At 43.7% G+C, this 22,087-nt stretch overlaps 1 protein-coding gene and 1 long non-coding RNA gene across 3 annotated transcripts, besides 3 other annotated features; one reads left to right on the top strand and one right to left on the bottom strand.

Annotated features, from left to right (window-relative positions):
- Positions 8,329–9,192: an enhancer, noted in NCBI's record as "H3K4me1 hESC enhancer chr7:19158406-19159269 (GRCh37/hg19 assembly coordinates)". NCBI's record gives its function as "activates a minimal SCP1, AML or CMV promoter by ChIP-STARR-seq in primed H9 embryonic stem cells {active_cell/tissue: H9 hESC(primed)}" and the evidence as "EXISTENCE:reporter gene assay evidence [ECO:0000049][PMID:30033119]".
- Positions 10,266–11,049: an enhancer, noted in NCBI's record as "H3K27ac-H3K4me1 hESC enhancer chr7:19156549-19157332 (GRCh37/hg19 assembly coordinates)". NCBI's record gives its function as "activates a minimal SCP1, AML or CMV promoter by ChIP-STARR-seq in primed H9 embryonic stem cells {active_cell/tissue: H9 hESC(primed)}" and the evidence as "EXISTENCE:reporter gene assay evidence [ECO:0000049][PMID:30033119]".
- TWIST1 (twist family bHLH transcription factor 1) lies at positions 10,339–14,928 on the top strand. Of its 2 annotated transcripts, NR_149001.2 has the most exons (3): positions 10,339–11,304; positions 14,052–14,098; positions 14,835–14,928. NR_149001.2 is itself a non-coding variant. In NM_000474.4 (2 exons), exon 1 carries the CDS (start codon positions 10,654–10,656, stop codon positions 11,260–11,262), a length of 609 nt encoding a protein of 202 aa, NP_000465.1. In that variant the 5' UTR covers positions 10,339–10,653; the 3' UTR covers positions 11,263–11,304; positions 11,844–12,507. The 2 variants fall into 2 exon arrangements, 1 of the variants encoding a protein (NP_000465.1); NM_000474.4 differs by lacking the exons at positions 14,052–14,098; positions 14,835–14,928 and adding an exon at positions 11,844–12,507.
- Positions 11,073–11,332: an enhancer, noted in NCBI's record as "active region_25682". NCBI's record gives its function as "activates an Ori minimal core promoter by ATAC-STARR-seq in GM12878 lymphoblastoid cells {active_cell/tissue: GM12878}" and the evidence as "EXISTENCE:reporter gene assay evidence [ECO:0000049][PMID:35858748]".
- On the bottom strand, positions 14,730–21,047 carry LOC124901597 (uncharacterized). The gene is made up of 3 exons (XR_007060241.1): positions 20,975–21,047; positions 15,308–16,423; positions 14,730–15,220 (listed from the first exon to the last, which is right to left on the bottom strand). It is a non-coding gene; the product is annotated as an uncharacterized LOC124901597 (long non-coding RNA).
- Positions 21,048–22,087: the final 1,040 nt, after the last annotated feature.

Raw genomic sequence — 22,087 nt, 5'->3', positions numbered from 1 at the left:
AAATTCTATCCTGGAGCTCCCAACCCAGAGTTCTCTCACAAACTTGAGATGCACATATCCAACTGCCTGCCCAACAATTCTACTTGAATTTTTCTAGCTGACAACTCAAAGTTTACATATCTAAAACTGAACTCTCTATCTCCCTTGAAGTGTGTTGCATTCACAACCTTCTCCATCTCAGTGGTTGCCAACATACCCTTTATTTTGCATAGATCAAAAGACTTAGTGTCACCCTTCATTCCTCTCTCTCACACCTCATGTCTTACCTTTAACGAATCCTGTTGGCTACTTCAAAATATATTTGCAATCTTATCATTTCTTTCCAATTCCAGTTCCACTACTACCACTCAAGTTCAGGTCACAATCCCCTGTTATCTAGATTATTGCAATGGCCTCCTAACTTGTTTCTCTTTTCCCCCAAAGAAAAGCCCATACATGCCATAGACACTGACGAGTTTCCAGGTCAGCACTATTCCTGCTGCACGAGAATGGTGTGGTCAAGTGAATACTCATGAGTTCTGAGACTGCTGATGGAGTGACATTGACATATTATGACCAGAATGCACCACTCCTTAAATGTTTGTACCATCCTGAGAAATCAGAAGAGGATAGAATTGATGTTTTCCTCAGTCAAAGAAAAACTCCTTTCCTATTCTAATTACTACAGCCACTGATTGGGAACTCCCTTGGTATTTTCTCCCTACTATTTTATTACACAAATCTTTGGCTTTTGATACTACACAAGTGAAAGGTTCTTCTCCTCTTCCAGTTCAGGGTCAACTAATTTAATTTATTCTCTGCAAAGAACATAAATCAAATAATTTACAGATGGTCTCTGCTTTATTGTAGTTCTTTTTACTTCTCATCAATACTTGTACTGTGTCACATCCTTCTGGTTCTATGATACAAAATACAAAATTGTCCCGATTATTCATTATTGTACTTGGGCAAGCAGGGCCAGATATGTTCACTGGGTAATTCCAGAATCCAGAAAGAAATATTCTCTAAATTAATATTTCTAAAGAAGTGTTTTTAATCTCTGATTTTAAGTAACAGATACTACTTGGTTTTATTATTTTTGTATATTAGCTAAAATGCAGGTTTAAGGTAACACTGAGGTAAACTAAGAAATACTTAACCTATGGAAGACTGAACTTCTTGTAATTCTCCAAAGAGAATAATAATCAATACACAAGAATTTATGAAGTATCTATTTTGCACATTATGGAGTCCGTGAGTAATATGAGAAGGGTCTGTGTTCTTGTGGCAATTAGGCTACTTGGGAAAAAAATCCTAACACAAATGAAACAGACTCCAGTTATGAGCCACTGTATGCCAAATTGTGCCACAGAGAATCTTAGTGCCACAAACTCTGGCAATGTCATCTCTGTTAGTTTTGTGAACTGTCCTGCATGCAAACCAACTTCCTACTATTGGTGAATGTCCAGTCTGTCAGTCTTGGTGGGAGACTGCTCTCCTCTCATAATCACTTGGATGAAGGAGATAGTGGGCTAAGAAAAACAGAGGAATTGATGATAGCTCTTAGGCTTTTAGGCTAAACAGATAAACAATTTACCAAAATTTATTGATTTGCAGGGGTAGAAGCAATAGGTTATGTGAAAGTGACAGTAGTGAGATGTCTGTGAGAATCCCACATTGTGGTATCAAGTAGACAGTTTAATATGATAGTCTTTACCTCAGCAAAGATGTGGCCCAGTATAGAAGCTGAAGAAGTCATATGTGTCCTGTTACCATTCTTTGACAGGCAGGGCATAGATAAATTATAAAACTTGCAGTTGATGTCCCCAGTGTGCACTTTGTGGCTTCGGGTGGTAATAGATGGATATAGAAATAGTTGCTCTTCAAACAGAAATGGCTCATCAATTAATTTCCTCATTTACCCTTTAAAGTGCAACTTTTGCATTCAGAATTGAGGGTAAATGCTTCATTTCAGTCTACAAGGTCTTGCATAACTTAGCTCTCAGTTAAAACAATAATATAAAACATGTACCAAGTACCAGGCACCATCTTAAGGGGTTAGCACTTAGGAATTTAATCATCACAACAACCTAATGATGTACATTATTTTCTCCCTTTCACAGGAAGCATGGAGGGGTAAGTAACTTATCTAAGGTTAAACAGGTAGTGAGAAGTTGAGCCATATTTGAACCCAGGCTGACTGCCTCTAGAATCCAGGCTACAATCCACTACTCTACTCTCTACAGCCACTCTGCCTTGCCAGAAAAGGAAGAGTTGCTCTGGACTTCTGAAACCTCTTCTAGTTCCAGTATTCTACGATTTTATTCAAGTGCATTTTGTAAGCAGTTCCTCCAGTCCTCAATTGTGATGTGTTAAGAATTTGACAATAAGTTAAAGTTGAATTAGATTCCTTTTTGTTCTATTTTTATTCTGCTTTCATTCTATCAAATTATTCCAACAATATGAACTTCTGCTATACCTAGTAACCCATGGGAATGATACAAGATAAAGCAGTTGTGATTGCTACTGTACTCACATGTAAAATTGAATAATCTTTCTGCTAAATTTTCTCTTAAAATTCTTTCTCTTCCATTTAAAATATGTGTTAAAATTTCTACAAAATTACCATGGAATATTTTAATGAATCTCTATTTAAAATCTGGGTGCCCAACATTCATATAAGAATCAACATAATGAAAATAACACTGAATTAATGTTACATAAATCTAGAAGAAGAGTTTGTTCTTTCTCATAATTAAATCAGATTGTAGTATATTTTAGAGGATGTCCCAGTTAAAACAAAATAAGTTAAGTATAATTCATTTATAGTATCTACTTGCTCATCAGATAGTCCAAGCCTGCTCATGTTGTTCAGAATTAATATCTTTGTCTTTTTTTTTTTATTTTTTTTTTGGGGATGGAGTCTCGCTCTGTCGCCCAGGCTGGAGTGCAGTGGCACAATCTTGGCTCACTGCAATCTCTGCCTCCAGGGTTCACACCATTCTCCTGCCTCAGCCTCTCAAATAGCTGGGTCTACAGGAGCCCGCCACCAGGCCCGGCTAATTTTCTGTATTTTTAGTAGAGTCGGTGTTTCACCGTGTTAGCCAGGGTGGTCTCGATCTCCTGACCTCGTGATCCACCCACCTCGGCCTCCCAAAGTGTTAGGATTACAGGTGTGAGCCGCTGCGCCCGGCCCTTTGTCTTTCTTTTAATTTATACATAACTGTTACTTTCTTCCTGTCCAAAATTTGGCTGTAAAGTTAAAATTGCATTAAGGTTGCTTAAGACCGTTAGTGGATATTTTTGTTTTCCCGGTCTTCATTATATGCACTTCATATTTCCTGGAAATATTCCTACTCTTGATGACAACTATGTCTCTACAGCCCATTACAGTTAAAACAAAGAGCCTATGCAATACTTTTTGTTACTAGCTCACAACTGAGAGTGAAGTAGAAGAGTATGTCTTATTTGATAGACATAATTCTAGGTTTCAAGACCTTTCAATTGACAGAAATCAAGACAGTGAGACAAGACCAGGCGGGTTCTCATTTCTTCATTTTCTCACTATGCTCTATCTATCTAGAGCTGGTCCCAAAAGACAGAACTAACAGTTTCAGCCACGCTGTTCAGTCCCAGCCATGAACAAGAGCTTCTGCCCTGTGTCTCTCCATTCATCCTCCATTCATGCTTATCCTTAACTTTGGACCTCTTAAGCACAGCATCAGCAGGGAAGATTGATATAGGGAAATAGAAAAAAAACCTAGGATAGGTTAACATCATATACAACAGGATCTGGGGAGCATGGTCCTTCCTGCCTGTTTGCAACCTATCCCAGTATATTAAACTAGGCTATAGATTTTCCTTTTTTTTTTTTGCTGTATGTTTCAGATTGACTCAATAAACGATGTGACATGTCATCTGTATCTTAATTTGGTCTGTGAGCCTTTCTGTGCCTTTCTGTCTGGGATAGCTATAGCATTCCTGGCCACCACCATGGCATTAAGGTAATTCTCCAATGCACAAAGGCACTCATCACCTCAGTCCAGGTTTGATGTCCTTCCTTGGCATTCTGTGCACACATATATCATAATATTTATCTCCCTATGTTACAAAATTATTTTCATATTTTGTTTCCCAAAATACTGTTACATATTTGTCAGGGACTAAACCTTCTTACTCAGAGAACCCAAGAGACATTGACACATTTCTGTTAAATTACCAAAGAATCAATAAATCCATTGCAGTTAATTAGTGCCAGTTGAAACCAGATTTCAGATCTCCCAAATGCACCATTAGGCAGAACCAGAACCTTACAATGTCTCAAGGTCTTGAATAGAGTGAGTGAGAACAAGAATCGTCATTTGCATTGCTTTTACTAAGGTATCTGTGGTGGGAAGGGCAAAGACATTGACCCTAGCGAACCACTAGGAAAAATACAGTCTGACTTCTAATGTGCAGGTCAAATGGAAAATAATATCATGTCCAGGGAAAAATGATGACATCTGTCTTCCCCCGGATGAGATCCACCCTAAGATCCAGTAATGACAATATATTGCCATCTTTACTCTAATTTGGCACAGAGCTCACCCATTAGATGAACACCAACCTTAATTATAAATTGAATGGCTCTCCACCTGTCTCAACTTTGTTATGACTTGGGCAACAATTACAGAAATTTTCGAATCTAAATGTCTGTACCAAGGGACAGGCAGTGTCTTTGATCAGAAACAGAGACAAATAATCCTGGAGCTTTTATATTTCTCTCAAATGCATCAATTTCTTTCTCTTGTTATTTAGGCCTTTTATTCCTCCTATATATAAAGTCTCATTCTCTTGTTCTCTATCACTCTTGTCCACTTGTTCCAGCTCTCTCGTTCACCTTCTCTCTCCAGATTCTGATCTATCTCTTGACCTCCTTATTTTTCTTATTTTCTCTTACTCTTTCTGCTTTCTTTCCTTTTTTTTTTTTTTTTTCAGAGTCTTTGGTCTACTGCTCACTCACTCCAGCAGGGTCTCAGAGAGAGTAATTAGGGATATATCTGCATAAAGATACAAACGCAAAGCAAAACATTTAGTTCCAAGGAAAGCAGGATTCCACAGCCTGATCATGGTAGCAATCCACCAGAACCATGAAAGTCTTCAGAAAAGTATCAAGCTATAATCCAATTTAATGTACAAAGTAATCAAATATTCTAAAATGTTTTTGAAAGAAGGTACTAGAAAAGAGGAAGGATCTCTAAAATCAGAGATTGTGTATAATAATTCTGAGGAAGTGCTGAGAGTCAGTACCTTAAGATATCGCATTTTTTCCATGTATCTGCAAAATAATTTATTATCCTAAAATTTGCATTAAAATATAAGTGGAAAACTATAAAACATAGTTTTCATATAGTTTTCAATGTAAAGACAACCCAAATGCCTGAAGTAGAAATTCAAACTGTTAATGGCATTTTGAAAAATCTTTTAGAAAAAAAAAATAAACTGTTTTTCATTGCCAAACATGGAATTAAGTAAAATTCAAAGTCACCAAGAGTTTTCTACAAAATTATGTCAACGTAAAATAAACATTTTCCCTTAACTACATTAGTATATTTAGTATATTTTCTTTATGTTCTAAGAAAGTACAAATTATAAAATCTTCAAAAGTTTGAATGCTAACTCATGTTTTTTTAATTAATAAAAATGGCATAAATCAAATAGACATCTCCAAATGATATTCATTAATTGTGTGTTATTTTTGCTGTTTTGTTAGCTTTCCTCTTCTCTGAGCTTCTTTCTAAACAAAGTTATCTGGGAAATTGTGTCCTCTTGTGGTGACTGGCAAAAACAACATGTTTTCTGCAGAAAGAACCAAACCAAACAATAGCAGCAGGACATAAGGCTTCAGGAAAACCCATTTGTGAAAAACGGAAATCCCTTCCAGTGAAGAAAGGTGAAAGTTATGAGTAATCAGAAAGAGAAATTGAATTGAAAAAACATAGAATGTAAATCATTCCATTTATATTTAAATTACTGGTCATCGGATGATTAAAAAGAAGACACATAATGCTATGTAGAAAGACTGAGACCATGATAATAGTTCCTATGAATAACTATTTATTTCTTGCATTCTTTCATCAGTTATTCCAGCAACTCTTTGATACAAGTGAAGTGAGTGTGTTTTCCAACAAGGTTAATGGGCAGCTAAGACACCAACTCTCCAGCCTGCACAACCCCTGAAAAAAAAAATGAAAAAAAAAAATGCTCTTCAAGACTCCATACTTTTCCATATTCTGATCCTGCACTTTCTACAGGTTAGACCTATGTCTCCTCATCCCATCCTTAAGCTGAGTTCAGAATGTCAGCTATTTTAAAGATTAACATTTATTTGAAAATTTCACTTGCGGTACTGTTCGCACCCTAATTTATTGTGTTTTTTACTTTTTCGTTTTATTTCTGGATTGAAAACTTCACATTTTATAACTTTAGTTTGTTTTTTTTACTTTTAAAGATATTCAGATAGAAAAATGTAGAATCAGTTGAGTTTATGAATCAAATCATCATTTAAAGAGAAAGAGAATGAGTTTTTATATAGGGAAAGGTGTTCAAACATCATTAAGGCTACCAGGGTCATGAAAGAAGAATAAGCTTTTACACAGTTATTGTGTTGACATACATGACTTTATATTCCACCTTACTAAAATTCTCTCATTTAAACAGCAGTCCCTCTGGAGTGTTCAAAGCAAGATGAAATCTAAGATATACAACCTCATCTGATATTCACTCAATTGCAGCCTTTCTAATTTTCACTCCCTTCCGTGCGAATGCTCCTGTGCACTATTTATGCAATTCAGATAAATTATTTCTCAGAACTCGGAGCCAACAAACAGGTGATAGGCCATCTAAGGTCTGAGGAGAAAGAAGAGTAGGAACAGATTGAGGTACTCACCTTTTATGCAAGCCCAAACTCCAGAATTTACCAGTTGGCTAACCATTCTATAGTGTGTGTTTCTTTTCCGTATCTAAAAGTATTTATAATTGGTTGTTGCTAAGAGAATGTCACAGCATATTCAAACTGCCAGGATACTTAATACTTATTGTATATGTTCAATGTGAGATTTCTAACTCTGTTACTTTTAACAGTATTTTTTGTTTCAATTTTTAACACAGCACACATTCCTCAGGCAGGATTGCAAACATGCCAAGTTTGCAGTTTGAAAACAAAGATCGTTTTGAACTATCCAAGTACAAAAGAAATTTTTTTTTTCAGTTAAATTTTTTTGGGGAGGACTTTACTTTAGAAGGAGGCAAAATGACTGAATTCCAGTTAATCTAGCATTCCCAAAGAAGGTAGTCCCCACTGACATACTTCCAGTTAGGCTAACTTCAGCCTCAAAAGAAAATTTCTAAGATTGTTTTCATGATCTCAAGATTGGGATTTTAGAAAGAAGCTTTCAAATTTAAACTAAACATTGCAGAAGTTGCAATTATTGTTGCATATATAAGAGAATCCAGAATTATACCTGACCTGTCAACAAGTAAAAAGGGAGCCATCCTTGCAAATGTGGAAAAGAAAATTGTTAGGTAAAATGTTAGATAAGAAAGAGCTGTATATGAGCAGACTGGACTCGTCAGCCAGGGCGTGTTGCAGTTTGCAAAGCAGGGAGTATCTAGCTCCAGCCATTTTTTGAGAGGTACCTCCTGGACTACTTTTGCTCCAAAAGTAACATTCAAGCCCCACTTAAGAACTCAAAAGTCGTCTCATCCTCCACTCCCCGGAACAGTTCAAGAGCCATTTCTTCTTAGAACTAGTCATCAATTGTGACTGTGGCTGAAAGAGTCCATGGGCAGGATGGTTCTGGTTAGGTGTTCATTTTGAATTCCCCTCTCAGTATTCTGGCATCAGAGCGTCGCCTGAGCCTTGCGGGGATCCCTGTACCCAATGGCCAGGAGCTCTTCATCAGCTAGAAGTTTAGTGCCGGGAAAAGGGCTGGGCTCACTTGTTTAAGAACCAGTCTTTGAGACTGATGACTTTGCAAGATGGACTGGCTAATGACCCCTGGCTGCTGCGCTGCTGTGGACTTGGTTTCTCCTCTAGCTTGTCCGCTCCCCTCCCCTTCCCAAATTCCCCTTGGTCAGGTAAGATTTCCTTTACACTTTACCCACACTTTCCTGTCTTACTTATCCGTGGCCACAAAGGAAAGAGTCCAATCATTCGATCTCTTTATTTATTTTTGAGAAAAGAGAAAAAAAGAACAAAACAAAAATAAGATTTATCTTTAAAAAAATAGCTGAAGTGGAAAAGGTTTCGAGATTTCTGCAGCCACGTTCTAAATAAGAATTGCAGAATACTGTAAATTCAGATTTACAAAAAGAACACTTGGTGGAGAGTGGGGCAGAATTTCTGCCGCATTCTCTAAGCGCTTCCAAGAGATAAAATCCTGTAGCGGAAGATGCAAACGCAAGGGTGCAGGGGTGACTGTTTTGAGAACTGCTAGAGTGCTACTGAAATTAAGTGGAGGTCAAGTCGAATCTGATTTTCAGACAATTTTACAGTAAGGCAGCGGCTCACTAAACAGGCCAGTTGACAAGCTGTAGTCACTTTCTGAGTATTTCTGTAAAAATGGTAAGGGATCAACTCTGCAATTTGTCCCTCCCATGAAAGCACAGTCTTGTTTACACCTCGCTGGAGAAATAACACTCGCCCTCACTTCTCCCAAAAAGCTGAACCCTTCAGTCGGCCCAAGCAGCTCCACACCCTGAGGTTTCCAAGACCAAAGCTGCGAGTCTCAGCAGGGAACAGCCACGTGGCCTGCCTGCGCCTCGCCTGGGCTCTTGCCTTCAGCTTGAGATATCTGCAGCCGCGAACCTTGCTCCAGCCCAGAAAGGGGCGCTTTGCTCAATTAATTGTTCCCGCCGGCGAGTCCGTACTGAGAAGCCCATGAGCGGACCTTATGTGCAGGGTACTCCAGCGCGGTGCACAAAACTCGTCGCCCCCAAACGCTGCCCCCACCCCAACACTGTGTACTGACTCCAGCTTTTTACTTTGCCATGTAAGGGATGGACCTGAAACGGTTATTTTACCTCAATTCATTTCAAAAAGGAAACAAGTATGGCATTGCAAAAGATGGGCTTCTTATCCAAGGCGACTTCCTTTCTGGTTCACCAACTTTGCTGCTTCCAGTTTGCCAGGATCTACATTAACACCCTCTTTGGGGCTCTTCGTTTTAACTTACAGACAGAAATGCTTAAAATGTTAGCGTATCCAAGCATTTGGAATTGGGGCTCACGAAGCCTAATTGTCCACTGGATGCCCTAGATAGTGGGGGCTGGGGCGGGGGGGGTCTCAGAGCGGGCAGCCCCTATGTCTAGGCGCTATCAAATTCCCACTTCACTCTCTTACAAGCTGGCCTTTCAAGGTCACAATGCGGAGCCTAATTTGGGGGTGGGGATGAAATGGCCACAGGGTCTCTCCCTTGGGTTGGCATTGCCAGCTGTTAGGGCCGCAGCAAAGGCGCTGCGCTGCCCCCCTCTGGCTCTGCTGCCTTTCCCATGGACTGGGTTTCCTTCCACCGAAGAGTGAACTTCTGCCTCTTTCGAGCACCTTCCGAGGCGTAGTCCTTTGGATGTTGGGGAGCGTCAGACTGGGTCGTTGTAGAGGGGAAAGGAGGGCCCAGAAGGGCGAGAGAGCAGGCCGGGACGCAAATCCTCAGCCCCCGCGGCGCGGCCACGTCTTCAGAAACGCCCAGGACCTCCGGGCTGGGCCGCCGCGGTTTGGCCTTTGGAACTCCAAGGGGTTCGTCTACCTGACCATTGGGTGGGCTCCGCGGTTGACACTTTTCTTGGCATGCCCCCCCACCCCGCGCCACACCACCCCCCCAGCCCCAGCAATCCCAAATCGGCCCCACGGACCTAGAGGGCTCTTGGGCGAGATGAGACATCACCCACTGTGTAGAAGCTGTTGCCATTGCTGCTGTCACAGCCACTCCGGATGGGGCTGCCACCGCGGCCAGGACAGTCTCCTCCGACCGCTTCCTGGGCTGCGCTAGGGTTCGGGGGCGCTGCCCGCACGCTCCGGCGGGGAAGGAAATCGCCCCGCGCCCGCCGGAGGAAGGCGACGGGGAGGGAAGGGGGAGGGCGGCTAGGAGGCGGGTGGAGGGGCCGGCCGCCCGGGCCAGGTCGTTTTTGAATGGTTTGGGAGGACGAATTGTTAGACCCCGAGGAAGGGAGGTGGGACGGGGGAGGGGGACTGGAAAGCGGAAACTTTCCTATAAAACTTCGAAAAGTCCCTCCTCCTCACGTCAGGCCAATGACACTGCTGCCCCCAAACTTTCCGCCTGCACGGAGGTATAAGAGCCTCCAAGTCTGCAGCTCTCGCCCAACTCCCAGACACCTCGCGGGCTCTGCAGCACCGGCACCGTTTCCAGGAGGCCTGGCGGGGTGTGCGTCCAGCCGTTGGGCGCTTTCTTTTTGGACCTCGGGGCCATCCACACCGTCCCCTCCCCCTCCCGCCTCCCTCCCCGCCTCCCCCGCGCGCCCTCCCCGCGGAGGTCCCTCCCGTCCGTCCTCCTGCTCTCTCCTCCGCGGGCCGCATCGCCCGGGCCGGCGCCGCGCGCGGGGGAAGCTGGCGGGCTGAGGCGCCCCGCTCTTCTCCTCTGCCCCGGGCCCGCGAGGCCACGCGTCGCCGCTCGAGAGATGATGCAGGACGTGTCCAGCTCGCCAGTCTCGCCGGCCGACGACAGCCTGAGCAACAGCGAGGAAGAGCCAGACCGGCAGCAGCCGCCGAGCGGCAAGCGCGGGGGACGCAAGCGGCGCAGCAGCAGGCGCAGCGCGGGCGGCGGCGCGGGGCCCGGCGGAGCCGCGGGTGGGGGCGTCGGAGGCGGCGACGAGCCGGGCAGCCCGGCCCAGGGCAAGCGCGGCAAGAAGTCTGCGGGCTGTGGCGGCGGCGGCGGCGCGGGCGGCGGCGGCGGCAGCAGCAGCGGCGGCGGGAGTCCGCAGTCTTACGAGGAGCTGCAGACGCAGCGGGTCATGGCCAACGTGCGGGAGCGCCAGCGCACCCAGTCGCTGAACGAGGCGTTCGCCGCGCTGCGGAAGATCATCCCCACGCTGCCCTCGGACAAGCTGAGCAAGATTCAGACCCTCAAGCTGGCGGCCAGGTACATCGACTTCCTCTACCAGGTCCTCCAGAGCGACGAGCTGGACTCCAAGATGGCAAGCTGCAGCTATGTGGCTCACGAGCGGCTCAGCTACGCCTTCTCGGTCTGGAGGATGGAGGGGGCCTGGTCCATGTCCGCGTCCCACTAGCAGGCGGAGCCCCCCACCCCCTCAGCAGGGCCGGAGACCTAGGTAAGGACCGCGCCGCTGCACCCCTTCGCCTCTCAGGTGGCAGACGGCAGGCCGGCCAGGCCGCGGTTCCCAGTCCACCTCGATTTCCTCCCCTCTCCCACTCTCCGCTCAGCCTTCCCACCTCACTTGGCACCGTTGCCTCGCGCCCCCAGCGTCCCCGGAAGGCCGGTCTGACCCCGCTAGGGAGAGCAGTCTCCAGGGGGATGCGCCCTGGTGAGGGGTGTGTGTGCGCGTGAGTGTGCGTGACAGGAGGGGAGACAGAGACACCCAGGGTCACGGGTAAGGACCGTTTTGTCAGCGCCACCCTTTCTTTCGGCTTTCAATTTTTGTTCTCCTTAAAACAAATGTTTTAAAACAAATTCCACCTCCTCCTCCTTTCCACCCACCCACTTCCTCTTGCCCTTGGGCTGAAATCCTTCCAGGTTGTTCAGCTTAATTTCTCAGTGGTGGTGATAAGAACAGTGCTCACTAGTCTTAGAAAACAGCCGCAGAGACCTAAACAATAACCGACTCCCCCCCCCCCCTCTGGGTTTTTGCAGATGTCATTGTTTCCAGAGAAGGAGAAAATGGACAGTCTAGAGACTCTGGAGCTGGATAACTAAAAATAAAAATATATGCCAAAGATTTTCTTGGAAATTAGAAGAGCAAAATCCAAATTCAAAGAAACAGGGCGTGGGGCGCACTTTTAAAAGAGAAAGCGAGACAGGCCCGTGGACAGTGATTCCCAGACGGGCAGCGGCACCATCCTCACACCTCTGCATTCTGATAGAAGTCTGAACAGTTGTTTGTGTTTTTTTTTTTTTTTTTTTTGACGAAGAATGTTTTTATTTTTATTTTTTTCATGCATGCATTCTCAAGAGGTCGTGCCAATCAGCCACTGAAAGGAAAGGCATCACTATGGACTTTCTCTATTTTAAAATGGTAACAATCAGAGGAACTATAAGAACACCTTTAGAAATAAAAATACTGGGATCAAACTGGCCTGCAAAACCATAGTCAGTTAATTCTTTTTTTCATCCTTCCTCTGAGGGGAAAAACAAAAAAAAACTTAAAATACAAAAAACAACATTCTATTTATTTATTGAGGACCCATGGTAAAATGCAAATAGATCCGGTGTCTAAATGCATTCATATTTTTATGATTGTTTTGTAAATATCTTTGTATATTTTTCTGCAATAAATAAATATAAAAAATTTAGAGAACCTTAGAGTTTGGTCTATATTTTTAAAACTAAAGATTAAGTTGGTGGTAAATACCTGCTTGTTTAATTCTAGAGGCACCCAGGAGGGAGGGGGCACTAATATAAACAAAGCAATGAAAAACTCAAATAAAGCAGCTACTGACAGGCACAAGCATGTTATTTTAAAAGACAGCTTTATTATTATTCCAGTTTGGTATTCAGAGGGCTTAGTAGCATCTCTTCATCTCTTACTGTCTCCAAACAGCAAAAACTTAACAAATTTGCTATTCACCTCCTTTTTATTTTGAGGTGATAGTTGTTAAAACAGTTAAATGCAAATAAGGAGTATAAAACCTGCACTATTCTCTTATTATGTACTTTTTGTCATGCTCTTCACTCTTTGTGAAGATTCCTAAATAACAGGTTCTTTTCAGTGAAAACATATATAGTGTTATGAAAATTATCTATACACATATAGAAATGACCAGAAATGCATAGAAAATAAAGTGTAAATCAGCAGAAAAGAGAAAATTCCATTTGTAATTTGCTTAACTCTTCTCTCATGAATGAATATGACGTTTAGTGTCATGTTTGCTAAAAAGAAAAGTTAATATATCGCTATATTGACGCTATTTGGGAAGCATCATTCTTTTTTTATGTGTAAAGAATATAAGGCTGTGGAATAATATACAAAAATGAAGATCCTGAACTTTCAGTATCCTTGGTAACTGGATATAATCACAGTTGGAATAATCACAGTTTTAAATACTACAGCTATGCAGTTACTAGTCAGTTCATTAGCGTTATATTTTATCCAGAATTACACAGAATTTTTCCCTGGTGAGATCATACATACACACACACACAATCTGAAGTTAAGTAAAACAATAATGGGCAAACGGGGGTGTTTGATTTTTTATTTCATTCTGATTATTTGTGGGCCAGGAACATACTGGCTTTTATAATTAACATTATTAGAAATAGTGATTTTGTATCAGTTCTTAGCTTTTACATCCGATTTACTGCATCCAAGTGTAACTGGGGAAGCTTTCAAACTGGAAAATCATTTTGGTGCCTGTTTCAAACAATGACTAATAAGTGTATGTATCCAAACAGATCGTTTTTGCTTAGCTCAGGTCAAAGTTATTTTATTGCCTGAAGGTTTTTGTTTTCTTCTTCACACAGCACCATAGAATGCTGACATAAGAATATTATGAATTTATTGTTAATATTTCAGACTATATTTTACAATAAGGAGTCTGCAGCATTGACTTGTATTAAAAGGTTAGTGAAAGCTTGGAGAAGTATTATTATTTTTTTATTTTGATAGTCCTTTAGCAAATAACAGAAAGGGAAGGCGATTATGTGTTGGTGTATTTGTTGGGGGTGTGTGTGTGTTGTGTGTAAGGCAGGTTAGAAATGTAAGGAGGGTGCCCTAGGAGGATGAGGGAAAGCATTAGGTTGGTAATTCTTTTTTGTATGTATCATCCAACCACCTCCATTTTCTAAATTATTCATGGGGAGTCTCCTTGTTCACTAGCTTGGTCTGACTATTTGATATTTCAGATTTCTTAAGGTACACCAGGATGGAGCTGGCCATGACTGCTGAGAAGGTAATTGTTATCTTAACTCTGGATATAAGAACTAGATGTGTCAAAGAAAGGTAGCTCTCCATTTGCCTTTCTTTTATTTCTTTCTTTTTTTAATGTGTTTTGCTTTTTCTACTTTTTTCATAAGGGGAAACACTTTGGAGAAAAGCAAATGCCATATTTATAGTAATATTAAATACTAATCTGAAGGTAATGTTTCCCCCCAGATTTTCAGAGAAATAAATGAATGAAAAAGGTGGTAATTTTATTTTGAATGAGGCGACTGCACAATGAAAAATATTAACTACTGGAATGCAGTTTCCAGCTTGCAGATTCTAATCCCTACCCCTGTATACACAAGACATAAATCGTGAAATTCTTTTTTAGAATAGAAATGAAGCCACCTGTTTCTTTTCCTCCACCATTATATCTTCTTTTGATTTTATGTTATTTCATTTTATTTTTGCTACCTACCCTTATTTAAAGAACACATAGAATGAATTACCTCTTGTTTTCGGAAATAAGAAGCTAAGGCTTTCCAATTAATGTGTTGGTTCACTTGGGATCTTTTTCCTTCAGAATGCATTTGCTAGGGGAAAGTATTGTATTAAATTGTCTTGGGTAAATTGTAGAAAATTTAATGTTTCCTTTACTGTGCTATTGATTACTTTTATTTATAAGTTGGTCAGATTGATAGCCTTTAGTTATAAGAAAGCAGTAATTTTTTTACCCATATGCACATTTCCCCTTTTGTTCACAGAAGCACATGTCCAGATGATAATTCACGCACAGTTACAGGTTCCCCTCCCCAAAGTGGAACGTATTATTAATAAAATAATGTTAAGGAGCAGAAACTTGCACGATGTGTGTAAATTTTTTCCCACACTCAACAACGGCACAAGCTTCTTGACCCTTCGGTCTTAAGGTTCATATTCATAATGGAGCTTTTTAAGGGACATTTGGCCTCTTGCAAAAAAGTAGAGCATTTTGCACATTCCATGGTTTGGCAAAGTCAGAACTGGTTATTTTCTCTAGACCGGTATCAAGTTCTTCTCAGGCATATGATTTCACTTGAAGTCCTGCCCAGGAATCCTTCAAAGTGAGCGTTTGTCCCGCTCTCATGATGTCAGGCGGTTTTCCCTGCATCTGTAATTTGAAGAAAAATAAACAAACCTGCGGGGAACAAACGCCACGGAAACCCAAACAGAACTCCGTGGGGAGCGAGGGTCTCACCTGCGGCAGGCGCGGGAGAGGGGCACGGGCACGGTCTCCCCTGCGTGGGTGGCGGGCCCGGCTCGCGCGGTGGGGAGAATGACGATGTCCGTATCTCCTTCGGTTTGCGTGGAAGGCCCCCAGCCCCGCGTCTGGCCGCTGCTAGGAGGCGGCGGTGCCAAGTGTCAGCGGTAGCAAGGGGAGCAATAGCAACAGATTCAGGCAAAGGCCCAACCTCGAATTTCCGGAGACAGGCCCACATTAGCGACAGACAGGGGTCGGGCGGGGATCCCCGGGGGCCACTTTTGCAGAATTTTCCGCTTATATGTCGTAAAGAGTGCGCCGCCCCCAGCACCAGTGAAAGTGGAAGGAAAGTGCACTGGCAAAGTGGAAGGAGAAATCGGTTTCTTCATATTTTCTCAAAGCCGGCAATCCCACTATTTCTCAGAAACCTTCCAACTCTTTGAGAGCCCACGAATGTGCAAATAGGAGGATTATTAACTATCTTTATTTACTGGACAGCAAAGGATAGACCCAGTTTAAATTAAAAAAAAAAAAAAAACGACATGGGATACATTTTCCATTTTCCCCTCGCTTTTGTCTCAAGGCCTAAGGACGTGAGCCCACTTAATGTTCTTAGCAAATCAAAGCACGTGTCCTTTGAAGAAGGTGTGTAATTGGAGTTTAAGGCATGTATGGAATTCCCAGATGTCTATAAAGTAAGAAGGAGCATGTGGCAGGTCACTGGAAGGTGGAGCAGGTTAAAATCACTGGCACAGAGGAGCCCCCTTTAGATTCTCCTTCTTTGTAAGGACCAACGAGATAAGCCTTCTGAAAGGTTGGGATGGGATCATGATGAATATTCAGCTTCTGGAATCAGAGTCATAGTAACCATGGTAAAAAGCACATGGTCAGAAAACCTCAAAGAAAACACTCAATTATAGCCGGGATTTTGTGGGCGCCCTGCAACGAGATCGTTTGGGGTTTGCTGCAGGGAGAGCCTGCAACAGCCTCCTTTCTTGTTTACGTGGACTCTTTTCTTTTCCTTCTATTTTTTTTTTCTCTCACCCGCTCTCAAGTTTGTGGATGTGTCCTCCTCCTTCGTGCGATTTAGGCTGAAGTCAGAGGAACAAAATTCTAGATTAGGAAAAGAAAAAACAACTCTAAAAGCATTCATTCCAGAAGGCAGCCTTCTTGGGGGAGGGGAGATTTCCAGCAAGTGAAATTAAGTTTCTGTAAAACATGAAGTTTGCGTATCTACCAGAGAGGGAAATCTCACGAAATGACTACCACCAAAATCAGCTGCTCTTTTATTTCACTTTATTGAGGAATATATAGATGTATAAGGGACTATCGAACCTAAGTGTGAGTTTGTATGGAGTAGTCGGCAGTTTTCCTTTTGGTTTGGTTTTGGTCTGAAGACAGAATCGAAATATGACTTTTTTTCTGGGGTTCAAAATGCTACCCTCATTTACCTGCACAGTCAGGCCTGAAGTGGGAGACTAAGGATCGGGAGTCTCTCAAAGAACCTGGCCACGGCAAAGGTTGGCACTGGGAGGGGGTGATATTGTGGGAAGCTGGAACTGGGGCCAGCGACATGGGGGTGGGAGGTGGGAGGACTGGAACAAAGTGCACCCCCACAGAGGCCACCACTGAGGCAGGCGGGAGAGAGAAAGGGATGCCTTGGGGGGTGATGTGAGTGTGACAAGTGAAAAGTTAAGCAGGTACCTGAAGGAAGTTTATCTTGCCCAGATGTTAGGGCTTTTATGAAATGTCACGTGAAAGGAACAGACGTACAACTTGCAAATGGGGACACGCCTGTAAATACAAGGAAGGCAAATGCTTGGAGAGAAATCCAGGCATAAATCATCAACCTCCTTTTCTAGATATCTATTTTCTTCTTTAAACATTTGCTTTCAGAAAGGGAAGACACATCTCAAGTTGTTAAGTGCATCTTCCAGAAGTCACAATTCCATCTCCTGCCCAAAATGCGCATCCCCTAGGTTCCTTTGGAGAGTTAGGGTGAGAGATGAATTTCACCATCCCCCTCCTGTTTTCCTTCTTCACATTCCCCACTTCCCACATTGCTCTCTGGACTTCTCAAAGACGTTTGATCCTGAAAAACATATCGGATCTCGGTTTGGAAAAGCTGAAACTAATCAATTGCCTTTTTGAAGGGGTAGAGAGTGATAAGAAGAGCGAAGGAATGCCAGGCCTGACAGATTCTAAACCTCCAAGATGCTTGGATGGGCTGAAAGATGAGCGGGTGATCCCTTACTCATGGGGCCAGGACCCAGCACTCTGAAATCCCCGAGCCCATGCGGAAGGGCTTTTACCAAGATACATGATCAGTTTGATTGAAAAGGATTTTTAAAAATGACTTGTAAACAGAGGAAGCATTTTTTTTATGCAAGAAGAAAGCTTGTAAACAAAATTAAAACGAATTAGCAGTTCGCCAGATGTGGAAGAGAGTCCAATTACTTTCTCCATGTTGAATAGGAATGTTCTTAGAGGTTACTGTGAATGCTAACATGTGGCTCAGGCCAGGGTCTTGGCATACAATAAGGTTTTAAATATTTGTTACCCATATATTAAGACGATATATTCAATGAACTGTGCTGTGGCTCTTCTTTTAGATGCAACACTATCCCTAAATCTCTGTTAAATTGACATTATATCTGGCTTATGTTATTATATAGCCACCCATATAGCTCTCTACTTTAAACAAAATTTAAAAGTCAGGGTATTTTCTTCCACAATATTAAATCCAATTTTACTGTGAGGGTTTATCTTATTCCTTTTTGGGCTTCCTACAGGCATAATCAGAAATGAAATATAGTCAGTGATCATATTAGCTTTAAGGATTGACAATTTTTAAAATTTCCAGACCAGATAAACAGGCTCTTTCTCTCTATAGCATTTAATCTCAATACCCATCCAGTCATTCCTAGCCTTGATTTATTGTTACCTTTGGGTGCATATCATATTATTTGGTTGTAGCTCACAGAGGTCCTGGTCACTGAGGAGCATCAGATCCTGCCTCTCTAGGTTTTCCCGTCCTTGTAGAAATACTCGGTCAAACCCCAACACCCAGATTTGGCTGTGCGAAGCTCTCCTTTGGGACTGCTATGCCTCCATTTTCTAAACATAGTACTGGACAAAAACAGCCCACATTTCTCTTCTTTTGTTCCTGAAACTTAACACCAATCAAAGAATTGTTACTATTATTGAAAGCAAACTTGAAGCAGAAACCATCTTCCTACCACAAATTTAGCAATGACAAACAAGTCCTTCAGAGAGGTCTGTGGATGCACCCCTAATGGAGTCAGCACTCCATTCCTGGGGAAGAATCCTGACATCCAGAGCAATATTTACAAAGTGTTCTTATAAATCTCGTTTGCACATTATGATGGAGGAAATTTCTATTAGCTTCTTGCTAAGGTTGCCTTTTGCCTCATTCCGCCACTGACTTCTCTCCCTACCCTTCATCAACGCACACCTTTTGAAACTTCTAACTTTGTAACCTAGAGACTCCCTTCTTCCTCTTCCTTCTCTCCCCGCCGTACTACGTGAAACTTAAAACACATCTCATAGATCAGTTTTCCTTCTCTGATGTTAGGCACAGTCCACGACCCGGATTTTCAAATAGCCCAGGCTGGAGTCTGCAACATTTAATCCAATCAGCTATTAAATGTCCTCTGGCTAAATCAAGAGTATAAGAAAGAATCCATAGCGGGATAATGATACCAAGAGCAGTTTGGTGGAGGGAAAGGAGGCTAGGAGGGGGCAGATAACTCCAGGGATCCTTTGATTGGAAAAATCCTGTTTTTAGAACTCCTGTCAGAGTAACAACAAAGCAAAGAAACATGAAAGAACAACTCTTTGTTCCAGGATATGGTTTTAATGAAATACTACTAACACACACACACACACACACACACACACACACACACACACACCCCTACTATTAATAACCGCTTCAGAGACTCCGCTTTCCTTTACCTATTAGGGACTAGGAGGCTCTGTAACGTGATCCTCTCCCCTCTCCCCCTTTCCAGCTGCCTCCTTCCCTCCCCAATTAAGCCAAAGTGGTTGTTCTGATGAGCCCCGGCCCGCACAGAACCGCAGGCTGAGGCTTCCCCCGGTGTACTGGCTCCCTACCCCAGCACGAGCCTTTTCTGGGCAGAGCCAGGCCCATGGGACTTGGCTGTGAGGACCTCATCTTCTAGTTTCCGAAGGCAGGCAACCCCCACCTTAAGAGCAAGCTCTTCTGGTCTCCGGCTAGGGGCCTTCTTAAGACCCTAACAAATGTGGCATCAGGAGGATGGCGTGCCCAAAGTATGCCTGCCTTGGCTTCCTACTGACCCTGCTCTGCGCTTTTTTGTTGACTTAACCACCCAGAGGGATTGCAACTAAGACAGCAAACGGGGTTGGGGGTAGGGAAGGAGAACGAAGAAGCAGGGGGTGGGGACCGCCAGAGAAAAAGCAACAGCATTTGGGAAGGGGGGGAGCAACCTTTTAGGCAGCGGGGACCAGGCATTTTAGCAGCCGCATCTGTCATCTGTAGCAGTGGACAGATAAAACCGTCCCTGATCAAAGAGATTCGTTCATAAATCACCCGTAAGAAATGGATTGTGAGGAATAAAAGACACGTGTCGAATAATCTCGACCCTGGAGTCTGCTCGCCGCCAGCGCGGTTCCCAGCGCCCCCTCTTTCCATAAACGCGCTGCGAGCGAGCTCGTGTCCCAGCTGGGAATGTCTGTGGGGGAAGGACTCTTCTTTCCGATCCTCTCTGCCCCCCATTCCTGCCATTCCCCGGCCTCGGTTTCAGAAGCCGACTGGGCCAATCCCTGTTCGGGATTTCAGGAGATTTCAATACAATCGGTTGATTCTGAGTTGACCAAGGAAAGAGCAGGAGGGAAGTTGGCGTGTTTTCTGAGGCGACAAAGTTGCTCTCTTGGGATCGAGGATATCTGCCCTCCAGGTCCCCTCTTAATGTTCTCGTCGCCCTAACGATCTTTCCTCCGAGAGGACTCGGACATTTACAAAGAGTTGCTGTGCAAACGTAACGCAGGCGGGAGAGTTCAGCGAGAGCTAAAATTGGCTGGGCGGGAGTTTTCTGTTCCGGGTTTTGCAAGTTTCGAAGGAACAGCGGTTTGCAATCAGGTTTCCGTCCTGGAGTAATATCTAAGGAGCGACTGTTGTTCTCTACACGAGGACCTAGTGGATTCTCTTTCCCCGCCTTCCACCTCCTAAGCCCCAGACTCTCGCACCTGCTTCTCCTGGTCGAAAAAAAAACAGGCAAAGGCGAAGGTCCCGTCCCGTGTGCTAAAAGCCCCGGCCAGCTGTTCCGAGGACTCCAGAAAAGCGTATTGGGTTTAGAAGCGCTGTAGCCTGTCTCCAAGAAGGTAGTTGACAATGCTAAGAAAAATTTTGAGATTTGTATAGGAAATTTACAGCGAAAAGTGCCCCTTACCCCTTACTTTACTCTCAGTTTTGGCATCCTCCAGATAAGTAGGATTTTGCATATAATAGGTGTTTATGGTTCCAGGAACTGCACTTTGATCTAGGATTTTGGGGGTGGAGTGTCTAAAGGGTCTCTAGACGCTTGTCTGATTTGAATGCTTTTCAGGATGATTTATGGCAAAAGGCTCATTTCTGACACTTCCAGATGTCAAAGCTCTTACCTTCCAAGAAGGGATGAGGGAAACTTGCTTCCCATAGCCATGAGGATGGGAGCCCGCGCGCCTAATACGCCTGCCTGCCGGTCTTCCTAAACTGACCCTGCCTACGGGCGTCCATCTGGAGCCGCTGATAACCTTTCCCCGCCTTCCAGCTCAGGAGAGGGGAGGGACTTGCTTTTTATGACGGCAAAGCTACAGAGGGAAACTAAGTCACTCGCCTGCAAAACGAGGTTTTTTCTGTAACTTTATTTTGTGCAGTTAACCACCTGCTCCCTGCCCCGTTGGTGGTTTGGCTTTAATGCGATTTGACCCCCAGATGTGAAGCTGGGCAGAATAAACCCTCCGTTGGGTCCCTGGTGGTGTCAGCCTCCGGCCTCAACCTCTAGCCGCCGAGGAACGGATCGCAATCCTGGTTCCCGCGGGGCGGAGACCCGCGCAGCGTTCAGAAGCTGCCGGGGACTCAGGGGGAGGGGGCGATGTCTTTCCGAAAGCTCCCTGCAGGCTCAGGACCGCGAGGTGAGGCCAGGAAAAATAACCCTCGCGACTCAATTACTGCGAGCTCCACCGTGAAGCTGAAAAGCTGAAATGTGCGCCGCGGCAGGGGGGCAGGTCAGACAGGGCGGACGCTCGGGCGATTTTAGGGGACCCATAGGGCCAGCTGAGCTGAGAACGCGCTGAAGGCAGTTGTCAACCTGAAGCTAAAGGTGGGGCAGACCCTCAGTAGCTGCCGCGGACGCGTTTCTCAAAGGAAACGGGGTTTTCCAGTTCTTTCTCCTCCTTTGAAATGTAATAGATTGGGAACGGGGAATGGGGGGATTTTGTTTTCTTTTTTCTTTCTCAAAGTGAAGGCAAATTAAGGAAGGAATTGGCTGCGGAGACTTGGAGAGCAGCTGTTAGGAGGGTCTAGTCCAGGGCATTGCTTATACAGGAAGGTGTACCCCGGAGTGATATTCTGGTTATTTGCTTAGAATCCTATAAGACAGGAAATCTGTAATATTTGGGGAACAGTATCTGACTGTTTCAGTCTTTTCTGATGAGGTTACAGACTCCCTTCTCTTTTCAAGTCCTGTAGATGTTAGTAACTTGAAGGTCAGCCGTTTGCCTTCCCAGTTGAAA

This window comes from Homo sapiens, chromosome 7 (assembly GCF_000001405.40).
Source record: "Homo sapiens chromosome 7, GRCh38.p14 Primary Assembly".
NCBI lineage: Eukaryota > Metazoa > Chordata > Mammalia > Primates > Hominidae > Homo > Homo sapiens.
The sequence above is the reverse complement of the archived record's forward strand: the minus strand, read 5'-3'. Positions and strand labels throughout refer to the sequence as shown.